The sequence below is a fragment of the Homo sapiens genome, chromosome 4 (genome assembly GCF_000001405.40).
Source record: "Homo sapiens chromosome 4, GRCh38.p14 Primary Assembly".
NCBI classification, from domain to species: Eukaryota; Metazoa; Chordata; class Mammalia; order Primates; family Hominidae; genus Homo; species Homo sapiens.
The window spans coordinates 10100410-10116987 of NC_000004.12; the positions used below are offsets into that span (position 1 = coordinate 10100410).

Sequence of the window (16578 nt, forward strand, 5' to 3'; positions counted from 1 at the left end):
TCAGTGCACAGCAAGAGCTCGTTACGAGTCAGGTGGAACGAGTCCACGAATTAACGGAGGCTCTACACAGGCCACGAAGATGCCTTGCTTGTGGGCAGACACAGCCCGAGCCTAGACTGAGCCATCCTCTGAGATGAGGGAGATGCACGTAAGGACTGTCCTGCTCTCAGTCCAGCTGCGGGGACAGGCAAGAGGTGATGCCAAATCCAGTGAACAGCACTAACTAAGGGGAGTCCCAGAAGGGCCCAGTTCTCTGCACAAGGTCCAGGAAGACCACCTGCTGTGCTACCTGAGCTGAGTTCCAAAGGTGACCTGGAGATCTGCTTAGTTAAGTCCTTTCACTGATAAAACAGGCCGGGGGGGAAGAAGGGGTCAGAAGAGGAAGTCACCACAGGCTGGCAGCATCGGAGGGGAGCACTGTGTGTGCAGGAAGGACATGCAGATACACTCAGGAGCATACATATCCACACATGCACACATGTCCACACATGCACATGTGACCACGTGGTCTGCTATGCTCAGGCCCATCCAGGGCCCATGCTGCCCCATGGAGAAGACATTGCTCTCAGGACAAGGCAGAGGGCGTCCCACCCTGAAAGAGGCGCCTTCCTCCAGGAAGCCTGCCCTGGGCCTACGTAAGGCCAAACCACACGCCTGTCACATGGCCCTCGCCAACTCCCAAGGGCAGCCTGGAACCACGGCCCCAGCGCCAAGGCAGACAGAACAGTATCATGAAAATAACCTCAGGAAAAGGAGGCCTGGGCCTGCCCCCGAAATGACCTGTGCACTGAGGACTGCCCCGTGGGAATGTGGGCTCCCAGAGTGCCGGAGGCTCCCAGGTGCGCAGCCCTTCCCAAGGTTCAACACTTCAGCAGTCATGAACCAGTCAGACTGACAGGGTCTAAAGATCCTGCAGAGGGCTGGGGCCAGCTGCCAGGCAACCCACTTAGTGGGCCAGCACGGCTCTTTCTCAGCCCCCTTCTCCAAACCACCCCCCTACCACACTATTTTTAGCCCCACTTCATCTCTGCAGCAAACGTTCCAATGTAAGCCTTAACAATTGCTTCGCTCTATTCAAAGAAATGTATTAGAAACATAAAATATGATCTCGCCCAAGAACACTTGGACCTGAGGATGGCCCCAAACTCCCTTGGCTCCTCTACAAAATCAGGGCACTTTTCAGGGAGGACAGCGTCCCACGATGGCCACTTATTTATGTGGTCTGTCCTTTGCAACAGTCTCCGCAACAGCCTTCCATTGAATTCTGTCTCATTGGACACCTTTCTGGGGACTGGGGACAGGGCAGGCCTGGGCCCGCAGGTTCTCAGCTTGCAGCTGACAGGGCACGGACAATGTGCCAGGCAGGAGCGGAGGCCCTTGCCAACTGCATTCCTCTCCTGAGAAGACACTTCTAAGAGCATTCGGCTCCATGTTAAACATGTAAAAGACATTCGGGCCAAATCTTGGGGCTTTAAATGAAGAGACTTTTGCTGGCAAGCAGGGCTTGGGGAAAAAATAAATCACAGAGCTAAATAAATCATGGGATGTAAATGAGAGCATGTTTTACAGATGGAGCTGGAGAAGATCTAAACACAAAAACCATTAAATGCCTACTATGAGCCAGACTCCGGGCCCAACCCTTCACCGTGACCTCAGCTGACCGCCAACAGCAGTCAGCCAGCTCACCCAGCCGCCTGGCTCGATCAGAACAGAGCCCCAGTTTTGTGACAGGTAACGGGTCACCCAGGGGTAAGTACCCATTAGTGCAACAGCCATGCTGGGCATATCCATGCCTTACTGGCTCCTTCACACCCTAAGAGGCAGGCACTAGCAGCCCCAGTTTGGAAGAGAAAATTTGGGCCCAGGAAGGTGAGTTACTCAACTAAGGCTACGCCACCAGTAAGAGGCTGCCATGGTCTGAGTGTGACCTCGAAAACCATGTGCTGGAAACTTAATCCCCAATGCATCAGAGGCGGCCTATGGAGAGGTGATTAGGCCAGGAGGGCTCTGCCCTCAGGAATGGGTATTATGACATGAGCAGCTTCCCAATAAAAGGACAAGCCCAGCCCCTCTTCTTCTCTCACCTTCTCTTTGTTCTTCTGCCATGGACTGACACAGCAAAAGGCCCTTGACAGATACCGGCCCCTGCTGTGCAACGGCCCCTGCTGTCCAACTGCCCAGCCCCAAGAACTATGAGCCAATACATTTGTGTTAGTCGTAAATTACCCAGCCTGTGAGCACAAAGCAGAGTAAGACAGAGCCGAACCCAGGTCTTCCCCAACCCCAAGGCCTACCATCTCCCATACACCCTTCAGGACAGGCTGCTGTGCACACGCAGGATGGTACAAGCATAGGGCCACGGCGTGCATGAGTCCCGCCCTCCCCTACTGGTGCTTAGCTCTCTCAGCAATTTGGTCATAGCTGTCACTCTCCAGAGAGGCTGATGAGGCCCACATCAGCTTACTCACTTGGCCTCCCTGGGCTGCAGATGGCTAGGCAAGGCAGGCAGTAAGTATCTGTTGAGCTTATGAATGAATGAGTGAGTGAATGAATGAGTGGGCCACCATTCTAGAAGGGGTACCACTCTCACTCCTGTACCTCTTGTTCCCATCTGTGTACAGGAAAAGCTCTGCGTCAAAGAACTAAGTAAATAAAAAAACATCCTTCAAGAGGAAAGATCTCTCCACCCCTGCCTCTGCCTAGCCTCCCACTGAGCCACACAAAAGCCCAGGCTGCAGAGAGCAAAGGCCCAGTGTACAAATAAAACGTGAGCGCTGGCCTGGAGGCCAGCATTGTGGTAGCACTGGGAAAGGAGCAGCGGGTAAAGATGACACAAAACAAAACATCCATTCACACATACACACACACACACACACACAGACACACACACACACACACACACACACACACACACGGCCCACAAGGGCTCCAACATACCATGCCATGGCTTCCCGCAAAAGGTCCCTGGCCAACCTCATGGTGGCATTTCTGCTGACCTCCAAGCTGGAACTAACTGCAACACTACAAACTAGAAAGTGTCCTTTCTGTTCTAGAACTAAGGCCAGTTTTGAAAAGGGGCATTTTGGTAGCTTACACCAGGGGTGTTCAATCTTTTGGCTTCCCTGGGCCACAGATAAAATACACTAATACTATCGATAGCTGATGAGCTTGAAAAGAAAAAAGAAAAGAAAAAAAACCTCACGTTTTAAAAAGTGTACCAATTTGTGTTGGGCTGCATTCGAAGCCATCCGGGGCCACATGCAGCCCATGGGCCACCGGTTGGACAAGGCTGGCTTACACATTCCTTGTCAGCCTCAGCTGAAACTAATTATACTGGCTCCCCTCAACTCACCACCCCCAGCCTGCTCCCCCACCCCCCACCTCCCTCCTCCCACTCTCCCAAGGCCAGAAGCCCAGCTTCGCCCTGGGCCCTGAGCGCCACCCAGGCCCCCACAGGTGTCCACGAGCCTTGCCCCCATACAGTACCTCCGGAGGCAATGTAGAATCCGCTGGGCGCATACTTGGCCACCACCACCTGATGGGCGTGCTCTGTGTAGATGTCAGCAAGGGCTGGGTTCTGCAGGAGGAGACCCCGGAATGAACAGAAGGAATGGAGAAGCAGTCAAGCTTCCAGCTCTCCACATCAACAGATATGGGGTGAAAGGGGTGTACAAAGAAACACTGAAGCTAAAACCGTGAAGAAAACCGCAGAAGCATACCACTTGCCTACGTATCTACTGCCTGCCTACCTATCTCTGGGTGATAGAATTTCATGTTACTTTAATTCGTTCTCCTTAGTCTATGACTGTACAACAAGGTGATTTTTTTCCTTTTCTGCTTTTCTGTACTTTCCATAATACAGAACAAATATATCAGTGAAACAGATACACAAAAGGTGGATTAGAGCAAGAAGCCCTGGTTCTAATCCCTCCCATTTGTGGGAAGCTGCATTCATTCCAGCGCTCTGTTCTCTTCCGTGTTTAGGACCAGCTCTCCTGGCTGCCAATCAATGTTGGACCCCAAACTCAGCGCCTGGCTGTGCTGTGCAGGAGCAGAGCAGGACACGCTGTGGGAGCCCTCTCTATCAAAAACTTGGGTTTGGAAAGGAAAGTCGATTCCCCACTCCCTTGCATAGCACAGATCAAAGGCTGGGTGGACTTTGTGGCAAAAATGGGGCCAACATTTGAGACTAGAAGCATCTTCAGCAATGAGGTTTCAACATGTAATGTGCTAAAAGTAGATCCCTGCGCCTCCCTCCCGGCATACACACACACGCAGGGCCTCAGTGAAACAGAAACACACACACACACTGGGCTGCTCTCAATCTGTCTCCACAGTGAAGCTTTCTTTCAGGAGGGAATAAAGACATGGCCATCTAATCTCTGCTACCTACTGTCAGCTTTTTACAAACCAAGTGCTCTTTGAAAGAGGCAGCTTCCCGCCAGCTTGAGGCTTAGGACACACCAGACTCCTGTGAGGGTGCCCGGGCACCCCTAGCATGACCCCACCTGCTGCCACCCCACCCCTCATCTCCCTTAGACCCCTCCTCAAGACCTGAGGGGCCCCCATCTCACGAGACTGAGACCACAGAAGTACAGACCCTGATTCCTGCCCACCTTCTGCCATCCTGTTTAAGCTCCACGTCTGTGTGTAGTCTGTGCCCTTGGCCAGCACCTCTCCCTGCCTACGGACACCCACTCACCCATCAGGCCTAACGGAAGCGTTCCCTCCTCCATGAAGCCTCCAAGTATGGCCCAAGCTATCCGTATCAACTCTTCTGTGCTTCCAGATCATTTAACATGTCCACCGGGATGGCACAACACACATCATAGTCCCTAGCATTCCTGTCCATCTCCTCCAACTCTGCTGTGCCCTGCTTAACATGACCTTTATCTCACTAGCCATCTCAATAAGTGGTTTGGGGGAGAAAAAAAGAAGTACACACAGACCTTCTCTTTCATCCCTAAGACTTAACACAGCATTATGTGATATAATAGACACCAGTCATAAATTAATCCATTTTGGGATAATCGTTCGCCAGTGAAATTAGAATGTATCAAGGTGTCTATCCAAAGAAGATACTACGAATGACAAGTAAGCACATGAAAAAGCGCTCAGTGTCATTAGTCTTGGGAAATGCAAGTCAAAACTACAACAGAATACCACTCCATACTCACTAGAATCAATAAAAAGAAAAGACTGACATCACCAAGTGCTGGCAAGGGTAGAGGGGTGGGGACACTGGAATGTTCACACTGCTGGTGGAAATGCAAAATGGTACAGTTGGAAAAGAGTTGGGCAGGTTATTTATAAACCTAAACAGACACTACTCACACCAAACACCAGCAACCCCACTCCTAGGTATCTGCCCTGGAGAAATGGAAGCATGTGTCCACCAAAAGACACAGGAGCAATGTTCACAGAAGCTTTCTTTGCAATGGCCAAAAACTGGAAATACCCAAATATCCATCAACAGGTGAACAGAGAAACAGGCAACACACCGCACTGCTTAGTGATAGAAAGGAACAAAGTGCAAATGCACTCAACACCAGCTATCAATCGCCAACATGTTATGCAAAGTGAAAAAGCCAGACAGAAAAGACTACACATTGCCTCTCACTTCATATGAAAGAAGATTTTAGAAAAGGCAACCCCAATGACAGAAAGCAGATAAGCAGCTGCTGGGGGTGAGGGTGGAAGGGGTGGCGGGGGCGGGGGGCACCCTCCGGAGTGACAGGAATGTTCTGTCATGACAGGGGTGGTGCTTATGGGACTATATAGGTCATCTGTCAAGATCCAAGCCACACACTGAATACAGACAAATTCTACTGTATCTAAAGTACACCTCAATAAAACTAAGATGCTGGCTATTTATTAAATGTCTGCCCAATCCAACCCTCTCCCACTCCAATTAGTCCTTCATATTCTGACACTGACACATCCCTACCCAAAGCACCTGGCAAGAAAATGATCCACTTAACAGGCAGCCCCTCCAAGACCCTGTTCGGTGTACACTCACAGCTGACTGGGGATGGGGGAGGTCTCACGCTCACATACAGGGGCACCTGCCCATCCCGCCAGACAGATGGCCTCGTGGGCTCTCCCAGCCTGGACGACCTCCTCCCCAGGCCGTGCTGCCGTAGAAAGGGTGGGGCTCCCATGGGCCTTCCGCTGGGGAGGGCATCCAGAGATGGAAGATGCCTGGGCAGGGGCATGAGAGGAAGTTCTGCCCCTAAAAATTCCTTCCCCTAAATGGTCAGGGCTGTGTGTAAAAACCCCAAAGGGCAACAGAATCCTGCCAGCTGATGAATCACTCACTCTCGTTTGTATTCTAAATACAACTGGGTCAGCGGTGGGGGCTGAGATACTCCAAACTGCAGATAATGACTTACATCTGAGTCAGAGCAGCCTCCTCCCCAGCTCCTCAGCTCGCAGAGGGAGGCTGCTTACTACACCCAGAAAGATACCTCACACCCCCACGTGTCACTCGGCCTGTGAGGCTCTGTCCCCATCAGCTGGGTCGAGATGGCACCTTGACACCCTCAGTGTGCCCCTCTCCCCCCAGCCTCCTCCCCCTCCTTCCATCTTGGGGAAGAAGAATGAGATTGGGGGTTGAGAAGCTTATTTGGGGAAAAACTCTGGAATGGGGAAAACGAGACAGGGAGGGCAGGAAGCCAATTCCAGGAGCCCCAGTGCTACTGTAGGCAAAAGTTCTGTCTCCCCATCTCCCTGGGGGCCTGGGGGAGACCACCATGAGCAGCCTTGGAGTTGCCCACTCAGGGACACCCCTCCTCCCAGGCTTTCTTCTCATGCTGCTGCAGGCTGGGCCAGCTCTGGCAGTGGGAGGCTGCCGTTCAGTCCTCACCACAGGCCTGCCCAGTTTTCCTTGCCAACTCCCAACCCATCTTCTCTTTTACCTCCACCATTTTCAATGCAGTCCTCCTGTTCTTCCTGGGAAGAGCGATAACTGCTTTGGAATGCATCTCCACCCTCCACCAAGCCGGTAGTCTTCAAATCCCGACCCTGATTACCTCACGGTCCGGCTTGCAACCCACCCTTCCTGAGCTCCCTCCAGGCTTCAGCCCACTCGTCGCTACCCTGCTGCCGCCCTGACGTTGCCAGCCACTCCTTGGGCTGACTACCCCAACCCATGGCCCCTCACCCCAACCCTTGAGGATAGAACAGGTGCAGCCCCTCTACCTTGCTGGCCCCAGACCCCTTCCCCAGTGGCCTCCACACCTGGGGGCTAGGGCCTGTGAGGGCCAGAGCTGGGGCTGGGATAAGACCTCGAGACAAGCCCCAGAATTCTGCCACCACCCCTGGAGGAGTCCGGGGGCCTCTGAGGACATGAAGGACACCAGCCAGCAATCAAGGAGTCACACACGCGAGCAGACCCAGGACCCACGGACTTCGGCAAGTGACAGCATGTAACAGCACCCAGCCCTGCCAACACAGGGCCTGGTTCAAGGCCCAGTGGTGCCCATTTGAAGCAGAAGCTTTGGACTTGACCCGGGAGGCCATTCTACTCTGTCACACTATGCTCAGGTCCCACCAGCCCCCACCTCCCACCTGTGCACTGAGGCATCCTGCCCAGGAATAGCTGGTCTTTTTCTGAGAATCCTGTTGAATGGCAAACCTAAACATACTCCCCCCCGGCACCTGTACAATGTCTGTGCCGCCTTTGAGACTCGCTATAATACACAGGTCATGCAAACAAGCACACAGAAGCGACATTTCCGTAACTCTGTTATGCCCCAGGCAGCAACATTTACAATTAGTGAGCCCTGAGCCCCTCAAAGCTCTCTTACTTTCCTATGTCCTCCCAGTCTCAGGTGGGTGACGGAGGGGCCAGAGGTCACTACTCCAATTTACAGGTAGGCTGTGATGACCCTGGGTCCTGGGGCTTGGGTCTCAAGGCTTGCCACTGGTATCTCAGCTCCTGGCCCACAGTGAACCTGATGGAACATGCTAGAAGGTTGGAGATACCTGCCCAAGCAAAAAACATTTCAGCAGATGACGACACAACACTGATGAAGGGGCCTGCTGTGCCCTCCTTTAGCTGCCAACTGTCCCCGGGAACCCCAGAGAAAGTCTCAGGCGTCCTCCATGGTCCACCCAGGCCAAGTGAGCGTGAGCTTCCAGTCAGGGCACTGGCTTTGTAAATACTCCAAGTTCCTGCAAGCAACAGAGGCTGAAAGCTGTTACTGCTGTAACTGACCTGTGCAAATATAACTGGCCAGGGCCCTTATGTTCACTGGTGACTACAACTAAGGCCAAGGCTGAATGACAGCAAAAAACCTCAGCTCCAAAGCAGGAATGTAAACTTCTGCGACAACACAACGCCTTCTCCTAATTATCTTTTAAGGCCCAGGCAAAGGGCTTCTCCTCCAAGCAGCCTTCCCTGATGCTCCAAGCTAGAAATCATCTCTCCCACCCTGAACCCCCACCTTCCCTGACTCCCACCCCACTGCCCTCACTACTTTCCACCTTGGACTACACATCATTTGTGCCCCACCTGCCTTCTGTACTACGTGGACACCAGAGTGGGGAAGGTTCACACTTGATTCACCATAGCAGCTGCCAAATACCGACAAAGACCAGAACTTGGCTGGAGCCTGGTAGCTGTTTATCAAGAAACAAATCCCCACCGGCCACTTACTATTCACTCTCAGACAGGCCCTGGGTGGGCCCCTCAGTGGATTCTCTTTGAAACCTCACAACACCTGCTGTAAGGAAGGTAACCTCATAATCCCACATGACAAAGAAACCAAGGCAGACACTGGGCGATACGCCCCAGGCCACCCAGCTGTTAAGTGGCAGCGCCAGACCTGAACTCAGGGCCAGTTGCTGACTCACCTGGGTTATGAGCATATAACTAACAGCACGGTGAGTCAAGGGAGGTAACAAATGCTCAACACCTTCACACAATCCCAGGTCACGTCACTGCAAATCAGGGACCATATGTGGCGGCCTTTACTCCTCCCTGTGGTTTTGTTGTCTTCCTTACGGTTGGTCTCAATGTTAGTGTGATTCTTTAATACAGAGAATAAAGTCTGCACTGGCCAACCAGCTGTGTGCTTCCAAACAGTGTACAGGCAGCTCCTTGAGCTGGCTGAGGACGGGGTGGTCACTCACAGGCCGCCATGCCCTGAACGACTTTCCCCTCCTGCCTCCCAGCTCAGCCTCAGATGCCTTGAAACAGGCCTGGGGGTACTCACCGTGTGGCCCTGCACAGCAGCACCCCTCATTGGACTACGTGTGAGCGGGACACCACCACCTCCGTTTTCAGTCTTCCCCTCTCCTACTCCCCACCCAGGGCCCACCAGGGCCTTAACTGATGAGTTGCAAAGGTAGACCTGGGGGTGGCTCCCAGGGTTCAAATTCCAGCACCTTCCAGAGGTTCAGCATCCTCACCTCTCAAAAGAGAGATGAGGGTATCCACCCAACAGGGCAGTCATGAAGACAAGAGCAGAGGTCCCTGCCAGGGCCCAGACAACCTTCTGAAGATGCTTTACGAATTAGCTCCGTTAAATCTTACACTGATCCCATGATAACATTCCTCCCACTCTCGCAGGCATGGAAACAGAAGAGGCAAGCACACCAAGTTTCAGCCACAGACCAGCACAAAATACACTCAACAAAGAACAGAGAGGTGCTCAGGGGTATACACTGGATTGGACAGTGGGGCGGGGGTAGGGGTGGGATGCTGGCCTTTCCCTGGAGAGCAGGCAGGACCCATACGTAGAAGTGACAAGCAAGGTGACCAAAGCTAAGGACCCACAGGTCTAAGGAGCAGGCACATCGCCAGGGCAGGGAGTGCCTGCCCATCACTGAGACGGCGAAGAGACGCACACAGGGCCCTTTCCTGTGTCCACAGCTGTCCCTAACAAGGGCCTTGCAGAAGGTGGAGGTCACTCTCCAAAGAAGCATCTCCAACTACTCTTGGGCAAGGCCATCTCTCCAGTAGTCTTACGCATGAGGCTAAACCTCTTCTCTTACCTCAAAGATGGCTTCAGTATCCCTCCCGTTACCTCCAACAGGGCAAGAAATGTACCAAAAGCAACACACAGGAGGCCACAGTGGGGCTGAGAGGACCCAGGTACACATGCTGTTTCCTGCCTGGTTTCTCCCCACCTCTGCCGTGTGTCTCAACGCTCCTCCTGGAGAACTCTTATTCATCCTTCAAGACCCAACTCAAATGTGGCACTTCTCCAGCAGCTGTCCCCGCTCTGTGGCACAGCTGGCTCCTCCCTCACATTCCCAGAGCACCCAGGGCATTGTTCTTTTGAAGCACTTAACCTGGTGCCTTCGAAGGTTCTTTACCAGAGTTTTCAACCTTGGTACCCCTGGCATTTGGGGCTGGACAGTTCTTTGTGGAAGGACGGCCATGTACCTTGTCGGATGTTTGGCCACAACCCTGACTTCAGATACCAGTGGCACAAAAATGTCTGCAAACGTTGCCAGATATCCCTCAGGGGAATGAGGTGGGGGAAATTACCCCTCCCTGAAAATCACTGATTTTAATCCTGGTCCTCTGTGGCTTAGGGTATGGCTTGCCAAGACAGGGGCTTAGTGAACATGTGTGGGAAACGTGAGAGCCAGAGATGGCTGCACCACGCAACGGAACCTGCGCTGACGCCGCCTTCATCTTTGAGCAGCTTCCTAATTGGCTTCCCTGCCTCAGATCTCAGATACAGAACTTCTCCTTACCGTAGGCTGGATCTGATTACTTGTCTGTGAGACCTCTGAATGGCTCCAGTGGCCTTCAGAGCAGGGCTGCGCTATGGTAGGGCTGTGTGAGCCACCTGCCACCACTGCACACCAGCACTTCTCAGCCTGGGTCCTGTCCACTCCCCTCACGCTCAGTGCCACAGTAACAGCCCATAAGCACCCGGCCCTTCGGTCCTCCCAGATGTGGTCCCATCTGCAGAAGCCCAGCGTCCTGACTGGCACCTGCAGCCACTCAGATTCTCCTGAGATGAAGGCCCCCCACCACCCTCTGCTTCCCCTGCCATCAGGTGGTCAGACTGAAGGCCTAGAGGTTCCTGGCTCTGCACCTGGCAGGCGCTGCTGCCAGCTCGTTTGCACCCAGGTGATAATCCAACGCACCACTTCCTTCTGCCACCTAGAGTTTATTTCACTCCCACCCAGGACAGTGAGCTCCATGTGGGCAGGGCCTCCATCCTGCACCCCCACAGGCCAATGGCCATCTGGATACACGCAGGTAGTCAGCAGGCGTCCAATTCCGGAGAAGCAGCTAGGTCAGTCCTCAAGCCCTCTGTCATGCCACCATTACCCCCAACCCGCAGGAAACACAGGTGAGTCCTCTGCATGTGAATGGTGGCAGCTCACACCAAGGGAAACCAAGAGTGAGCCCAATACCCTCCCCAACCCCCCACTTGGTCTGCCCCCTGTTCAAGGAGAAAAGTCCACTGATACTGCGCCTGGGTTCCCAGCAGTGTCAAATTGCTATAAACCTTGCACTCCCGGAAACTCAATTTTATAGACATCATTTTTCCAAATGTGTATTTTAGTTCTGGAATCTAGGAACTGGATACTTTAAAAACCAGGCCCCAAACTTGCCTGCATAGCAAATCTGCTGGCTGCCTGGCAGCACACAAGAGGGCCTCTGTTGTGAGGCAAAAGTTGCTTTTTTTTTTTCTTTTTCTAAACAGGGACTACTGGCACTACTGGCATTTTAGGCTGGGTAATTTTTATTGTAGGATGGTCCCGTGCCCTGTTTAGAATCACAAACAGGTTCGTTCACAGCCATTGGGGGTGACCCTTCCCAGTCTTTGCACAGAGGTCATAAGAGGCAGAGGTGATGCAGGCAGGGTAAGGAAACTTAGAAGGAACCACCCCAGACCTAAGGAGGTACCAGCACCTGCAGGAAGCCTTCCTTAGACCCCCGAAGCACAGACTATCCATCCCTTCTCCGTGGGGAACTAATGTCTCTCAAACACAGTGTACATATGGTTCACTGGAATCCCCTTCTTGGAGCTCTCTCCTTCTGGAATATTAGTTTCTACATGGCCACCATTATAGTCTTTCACTCTACAGAGGAGAGTTGCCTCTCCAGGTGAGGCAACGAGATGTGTTGAAATAAACAGGTAAGAAACACCCTTTTTCTACAAGTTTAAGAAGTGCCATTATGCTGGGTTCACAAAACAGCTTTTAAGTCAACAAAATAAATGACAGAGGGGGCTCCAAGTGCAAAGCTGGCAACGGTGCTCGCCTCTTAGGTATGAAAGGCGATTCCACAAAATTTAGGTCCGGCAATCTACACTGAGCTGAGCTTTCCTTGTTCTCATGCAGTAAGACCTCAGTGGCTGCCTATTATCTTCACGACACAGCCTGGTTTTCCAGGCTTTTTAATCAATGAGTAACTCACTGAGCACCTACTGTGTGCCAGACACTCTCTTAGGCGAGGACACGGCAGTGACTGAAAGAGAGGGGAAAGCCCTGCTGGCCTGGAGCTGATGCCCAGTTAGGGGGACAGGCAGATACCTATGTACACTTGTAGGCAGCCGTAGCCTGCTGCTTGTTAGCTTGCTTCCTACTTATTGTCAGCAATGAGAAAGACAGAAGGCCGGGGATGGAAAATTCTATTCCGGGGACACCCCTCTACTAAGGTGACTACATCTAAGTATAAACCAAAGGGAAAGGCCTAGTGTGGTGGCTCACGCCTGTATCCCAGGACTTTGGGAGGCCAAGGCGAGCGAGCAGATCACTTGAGGTTGGGAGTTCAAGATCAGCCTGGCCAACACGGCGAAACCCCGTTACCTACTAAAAAATACAAAAATTAGCCAGGTGAATTGGCACGTACCTGTAGTCCCCACTACTCGGGAGGCTGAGGCAGGAGATTTGCCTGAACCCGGCAGGTGGAGGTTGCAGTGACCCAAGATCACGCCACCGCACTCCAGCTTGGGCGACAGTAAGCCTCCACCTCAAATTAAAAAAGAAAAACCAAAGAGAAGACAGGGAGCAAGACTTGCAGCTATCTGAGAAAATGTCCAGGCAAAGGCAATAACTAGCAGGTACCAAGACAGATGTGTGGCATGTTCAAGAAGCAGCAAGGAGGCAAGAACGCTGGAGCCGAGGCCACGGTAAGGACTCTGGCTTTCACCGAGGTGGGAAGCCACTAGAGGCCTGTCTTGTGTTTCAGCCACTCCAGCGAGTGTTGTGAACAGACCCCCAGGGCAACAAGGGTGAAAGCAAGGAGACCTGTTTGGTTTTCGGGAGTCTGGGGGCAATAAGTCAGGTGGGGGAAGATAGCTTAGTCGTGGGTGGAGGCAGAGGAAGCCAGGGAAATCTGTTAGATTCTGAAGATACTTTGAATGTGGAGTCAGAAGGATTTACTAAAATTAAAATGTGGCGCAGTAGCGAAGCAGAGAGTGAAACAGGAGTCCAAGGTTTGGGGCCTGAACAGCTGGAGGAACGGTGTTCCCTTTTAGGGGAAGAGCACGTGGGAAACACAAATTTGGCTTGGAGTATGTATGTTGAGTCTGAGATGTCAATGAGACATGTTAGATCTTCCATGATCTGGTCCTCCATTTCTTCCCTCTTCCCTCCCTGAGCCTGCATTCCAAACAGACCATCATCCTTCCTGAACGGTCATGCCAATTCATGTCACTTTTTTTTCCAAGAGTACTTTGCCCTAAAAAAAATCGTACCCACCTTTACTTGAGTACCCAGTCCACCCATCCAACTAACAAGAGACTCAGTGCCTGATCTACATCCAGCCCAGGGAGGGCTATATTAGTAGCATCTCGTGCTGACCTGGCATTGCAGAAACTTAAAAATAATTGAGAAGGGAAACAGGGTAACCCCTGAGAAGAAAATGGCAAACCACGGGGAAGGGGTAAGAATACAGAGCTCAGAAACAGGCAGAATGGGTTTCACAAGCTGGGAAATGCTTTCTGCAAAGGGGTGCCTGTCCCTGAATGACCACTCCATTAGAAGCAGCTCCAGTTACTGGCCTGCCTCACCTTGCTAAGTCTGACTCCTCTTTAGAGTAACGGACCCATGTGGGGTGGAAAGAGATGCTACAGTTTAAGAAGCTATCACAGGGCCAGATGCACAGCAGGTACTTTATGTGAGGCCCCCTCCCTGGAAGTCAATGTGGACTGCAACGACAGGGAAGGCCTGGTTAGGGGCAAAACGAAATATCCTACTGCTCTGTATCCGAGGACGTGTTAGTGGATTTTATTTGCCAAACTACTAAATATCTCTTTAGGGTTGTCTCAATTTTTATTTTCTCAAAAGCCTCAGGACCTGCCTTCGGAGACTTCCAGATCATTACCATTAGATCCCTGGTGATTTTCTCCAGTTCTAAGCAAGGCCCTTCGGCTTTCTAGGAATCTGTGTGACTAGCAAGTTGTTAGCACCTTCAAAGCACATTCACACCCGCCCACCCCCTCATTTGAGGGGCCCAGCAATCCAGGGCAGGTAGAGCTCTGTCTTCCAGCAGAGGAACAGCAGCGACTGCCTGGGTTAACGAGACAGATGCGGGCAGAGCCAGCAGCTCTTCGGACCAAGAGGCTTCTCCTTTCACAGAGAAGGAAACTGAGACCCAGAGACCCCTTCATTCCCTCAGCCAGTTGCTGGCCTCCTGGAGGGCAAGTGTGTCCGATCAACAGTCCCAACCTACCAAGGGAAATCAGGCTGACTTTAAGTTGACAACCCTTGTATGCCTATGGCATCAATCAAAACATACATCTTTGTGCCAGCCGCCCCCACTAAGCACAGCACAGGAGAAATCACCCAATGGCCGGGCCGGCACCTCCAACTCCCACCCCACCAATTCCATCACTCAGGCTGAGGAAGGGAAAAGCAAAATTTAAGCGTGTAACCCAGGAAGGGAGGGAGACTGACAGACTGGGTCACCCCAACAATTACAGAGGAATAACATGAATTTGCAAGGATTTCCCAAGGAGCTGGCTCTAGAAGCCTTTTCAGCCTGGGTACCGGAGGCTTGCAGAGAATGATTCATGGGAAAACACTGCTTCCTGTTTTTGCTTTGGGGCTTAGATCCATGGTGGCAGATCTGGCTGGCCCAGAGGCCCGGGTGTTTTTCCGGGCTCTGCCATACTGGAAGACCAGGGTATTAACAGCGAGTTAGCTGAGTGCCATTCCATTCAGCAAGGGCTCAAAGTGCACCAGGCACCGCTGGGCTTGAGGGACGCCAGCAGCTCATTCATTCCATCTGCCCAGCCAGCAGGCGAAGCGAGAGTGGTCATCATCTCATCATCTGTTTTACAGACGAGAAAACTGGGGCTCAGAGATGCCCAAATCGCCAATCTTCTCAAGGTCACGCAGCGGCCGACCGGGTCAGTCTGATCCCTCAAATCCGGAGCCCTTGCTTTTAAGGAATGAACTAATCTAATCTCCCATCCACGTACTAACCAGGCCTGACCGTGCTTAGCTTCCAAGATCAGAGGCGATCCGGCGCTTTCAGGGTGCTATGACCGTAGACAGAAACGAACTAAGACTCAGTTTCCTCATCAAGAAGGAGCAGACAAGGACCTGGGTGAATCTGAGGCCGGCTTCCGGGGCTCCGAGGTGTGGCTCCCGGTAGAGGGGGCGTGGCGCCCTCACCCTCCCCGGGCCAATGGGCAGGAGGTGAGAAGTGGAGAGGAAGGCGAATTATCCCATCCCAAGGTGGCTCCGGAGCAGAACCGCGCCCGGGGTAGGGGGTACTCACGTCGATGTTCCTTAGGATGACGCACTTTCCATTGGTGTACAGAAAATTGTTGCCCTTAGGGTCGCCGCCGATGATCTTGGAGACGCCCCTCTCCACCTGCGGGAGGCTGGCGAACACCTTCTCTGCGGAGACACAAATGCGGCGGGGCATGTCAGGGCAGGGCGGGGACGGCGGGGACAGAAGGGAGAAGGAGCCCCGGACCGGTCTCGGCCGGTCACCTGTTGACTGCGCCGGGAGGGCGGCCTCCACTTTCCACGAGCGCCAGGAACCGCGCGACTTCCTGGTCCGCGCCCCGGGCCAGGCCCTTGGGGGCAGCGGGGCTCCTCCGGCTCGGCCCACGGCGCCAACTTGGGGGCGCACCCCCCGTCGGGGGTCCCGCCCTGCACCACCGAGGGCGGCCCCGCCACGCCTCCGGCCGGCGCCCGCACCCCTCCCCCGCGCCGAGGACTCCCCCGCCACCCGCACGGCGCCTAGGGGCCGGGGACCGGGGCCGGGGCAGCGCGGCGGCCGCTCGGGGGCCCCGCGCCGCGGCACTTACTGATCTCGTACGGCATCCTCGCCCACTTGTTACCGCGCCGCGCTCGCCGAGAGCCTCCGGGGCCGGCCCGCGCTGCGAATTACACCTCGCCGAGGCCGAGCCCGGGGACTGGAGCCGGAAGGCGGCACCGGGCGTGCCGGGAGTGGAGTGGGCGGTCCGAGGCCGGGGCTCAGAGGCCAGCTCGCGCCTGCCCTGCGCGCTGTGGTTGCGGACGCCCCGAACCCGGAAGCGCGGTCCCGCGCGCGGCTCGCCCCCAGCTTTGACCATATATAGTCAAGCGCTCGGCTCGGCGGCTGCGGTCCCGGCGAGCCTGCGCGGACCTGGCGCTCCCCTCCCC

The 16578-nt window shown here is 53.7% G+C and overlaps 1 protein-coding gene and 1 pseudogene across 3 annotated transcripts in view, besides 11 other annotated features; both read right to left on the reverse strand.

The window, feature by feature from the left end:
* Positions 1-16390, reverse strand: part of WDR1 (WD repeat domain 1) — a 42461-nt gene extending 26071 nt beyond the window's left edge. For 2 of the 3 annotated variants that reach the window (NM_017491.5, XM_017008880.3), the window contains exons 1-3: positions 16242-16390; positions 15704-15825; positions 3487-3577 (exon numbers count right to left, since the gene is read on the reverse strand). In NM_017491.5, the coding sequence (NP_059830.1) occupies positions 3487-3577; positions 15704-15825; positions 16242-16257 (229 nt within the window). In that variant the 5' untranslated portion in view covers positions 16258-16390. The remainder of the gene's footprint in view (positions 1-3486; positions 3578-15703; positions 15826-16241) is intronic. The other variant, NM_005112.5, reaches the window with a different exon arrangement.
* Positions 1977-2667: an enhancer, noted in NCBI's record as "H3K4me1 hESC enhancer chr4:10104010-10104700 (GRCh37/hg19 assembly coordinates)". NCBI's record gives its function as "activates a minimal SCP1, AML or CMV promoter by ChIP-STARR-seq in primed H9 embryonic stem cells {active_cell/tissue: H9 hESC(primed)}" and the evidence as "EXISTENCE:reporter gene assay evidence [ECO:0000049][PMID:30033119]".
* Positions 2668-3358: an enhancer, noted in NCBI's record as "H3K4me1 hESC enhancer chr4:10104701-10105391 (GRCh37/hg19 assembly coordinates)". NCBI's record gives its function as "activates a minimal SCP1, AML or CMV promoter by ChIP-STARR-seq in primed H9 embryonic stem cells {active_cell/tissue: H9 hESC(primed)}" and the evidence as "EXISTENCE:reporter gene assay evidence [ECO:0000049][PMID:30033119]".
* Positions 6398-6447: a silencer, noted in NCBI's record as "silent region_15276". NCBI's record gives its function as "represses an Ori minimal core promoter by ATAC-STARR-seq in GM12878 lymphoblastoid cells {active_cell/tissue: GM12878}" and the evidence as "EXISTENCE:reporter gene assay evidence [ECO:0000049][PMID:35858748]".
* Positions 7058-7789: an enhancer, noted in NCBI's record as "H3K27ac-H3K4me1 hESC enhancer chr4:10109091-10109822 (GRCh37/hg19 assembly coordinates)". NCBI's record gives its function as "activates a minimal SCP1, AML or CMV promoter by ChIP-STARR-seq in naive H9 embryonic stem cells {active_cell/tissue: H9 hESC(naive)}" and the evidence as "EXISTENCE:reporter gene assay evidence [ECO:0000049][PMID:30033119]".
* Positions 11176-11470: a silencer, noted in NCBI's record as "tiled region #388; K562 Repressive non-DNase unmatched - State 14:Gen5'". NCBI's record gives its function as "represses a minimal TATA promoter and a strong SV40 promoter by Sharpr-MPRA in K562 cells {active_cell/tissue: K562}" and the evidence as "EXISTENCE:reporter gene assay evidence [ECO:0000049][PMID:27701403]".
* Positions 12914-13414: an enhancer, noted in NCBI's record as "H3K4me1 hESC enhancer chr4:10114947-10115447 (GRCh37/hg19 assembly coordinates)". NCBI's record gives its function as "activates a minimal SCP1, AML or CMV promoter by ChIP-STARR-seq in naive H9 embryonic stem cells {active_cell/tissue: H9 hESC(naive)}" and the evidence as "EXISTENCE:reporter gene assay evidence [ECO:0000049][PMID:30033119]".
* Positions 15247-16051: an enhancer, noted in NCBI's record as "NANOG-H3K27ac-H3K4me1 hESC enhancer chr4:10117280-10118084 (GRCh37/hg19 assembly coordinates)". NCBI's record gives its function as "activates a minimal SCP1, AML or CMV promoter by ChIP-STARR-seq in primed H9 embryonic stem cells {active_cell/tissue: H9 hESC(primed)}" and the evidence as "EXISTENCE:reporter gene assay evidence [ECO:0000049][PMID:30033119]".
* Positions 15247-16081: a biological region, named in NCBI's record as "NANOG-H3K27ac-H3K4me1 hESC enhancer GRCh37_chr4:10117280-10118084".
* On the reverse strand, positions 15347-15475 carry RNA5SP155 (RNA, 5S ribosomal pseudogene 155; annotated as a pseudogene).
* Positions 15702-15851: an enhancer, noted in NCBI's record as "active region_21309". NCBI's record gives its function as "activates an Ori minimal core promoter by ATAC-STARR-seq in GM12878 lymphoblastoid cells {active_cell/tissue: GM12878}" and the evidence as "EXISTENCE:reporter gene assay evidence [ECO:0000049][PMID:35858748]".
* Positions 15932-16081: a silencer, noted in NCBI's record as "silent region_15277". NCBI's record gives its function as "represses an Ori minimal core promoter by ATAC-STARR-seq in GM12878 lymphoblastoid cells {active_cell/tissue: GM12878}" and the evidence as "EXISTENCE:reporter gene assay evidence [ECO:0000049][PMID:35858748]".
* Positions 16162-16571: a silencer, noted in NCBI's record as "silent region_15278". NCBI's record gives its function as "represses an Ori minimal core promoter by ATAC-STARR-seq in GM12878 lymphoblastoid cells {active_cell/tissue: GM12878}" and the evidence as "EXISTENCE:reporter gene assay evidence [ECO:0000049][PMID:35858748]".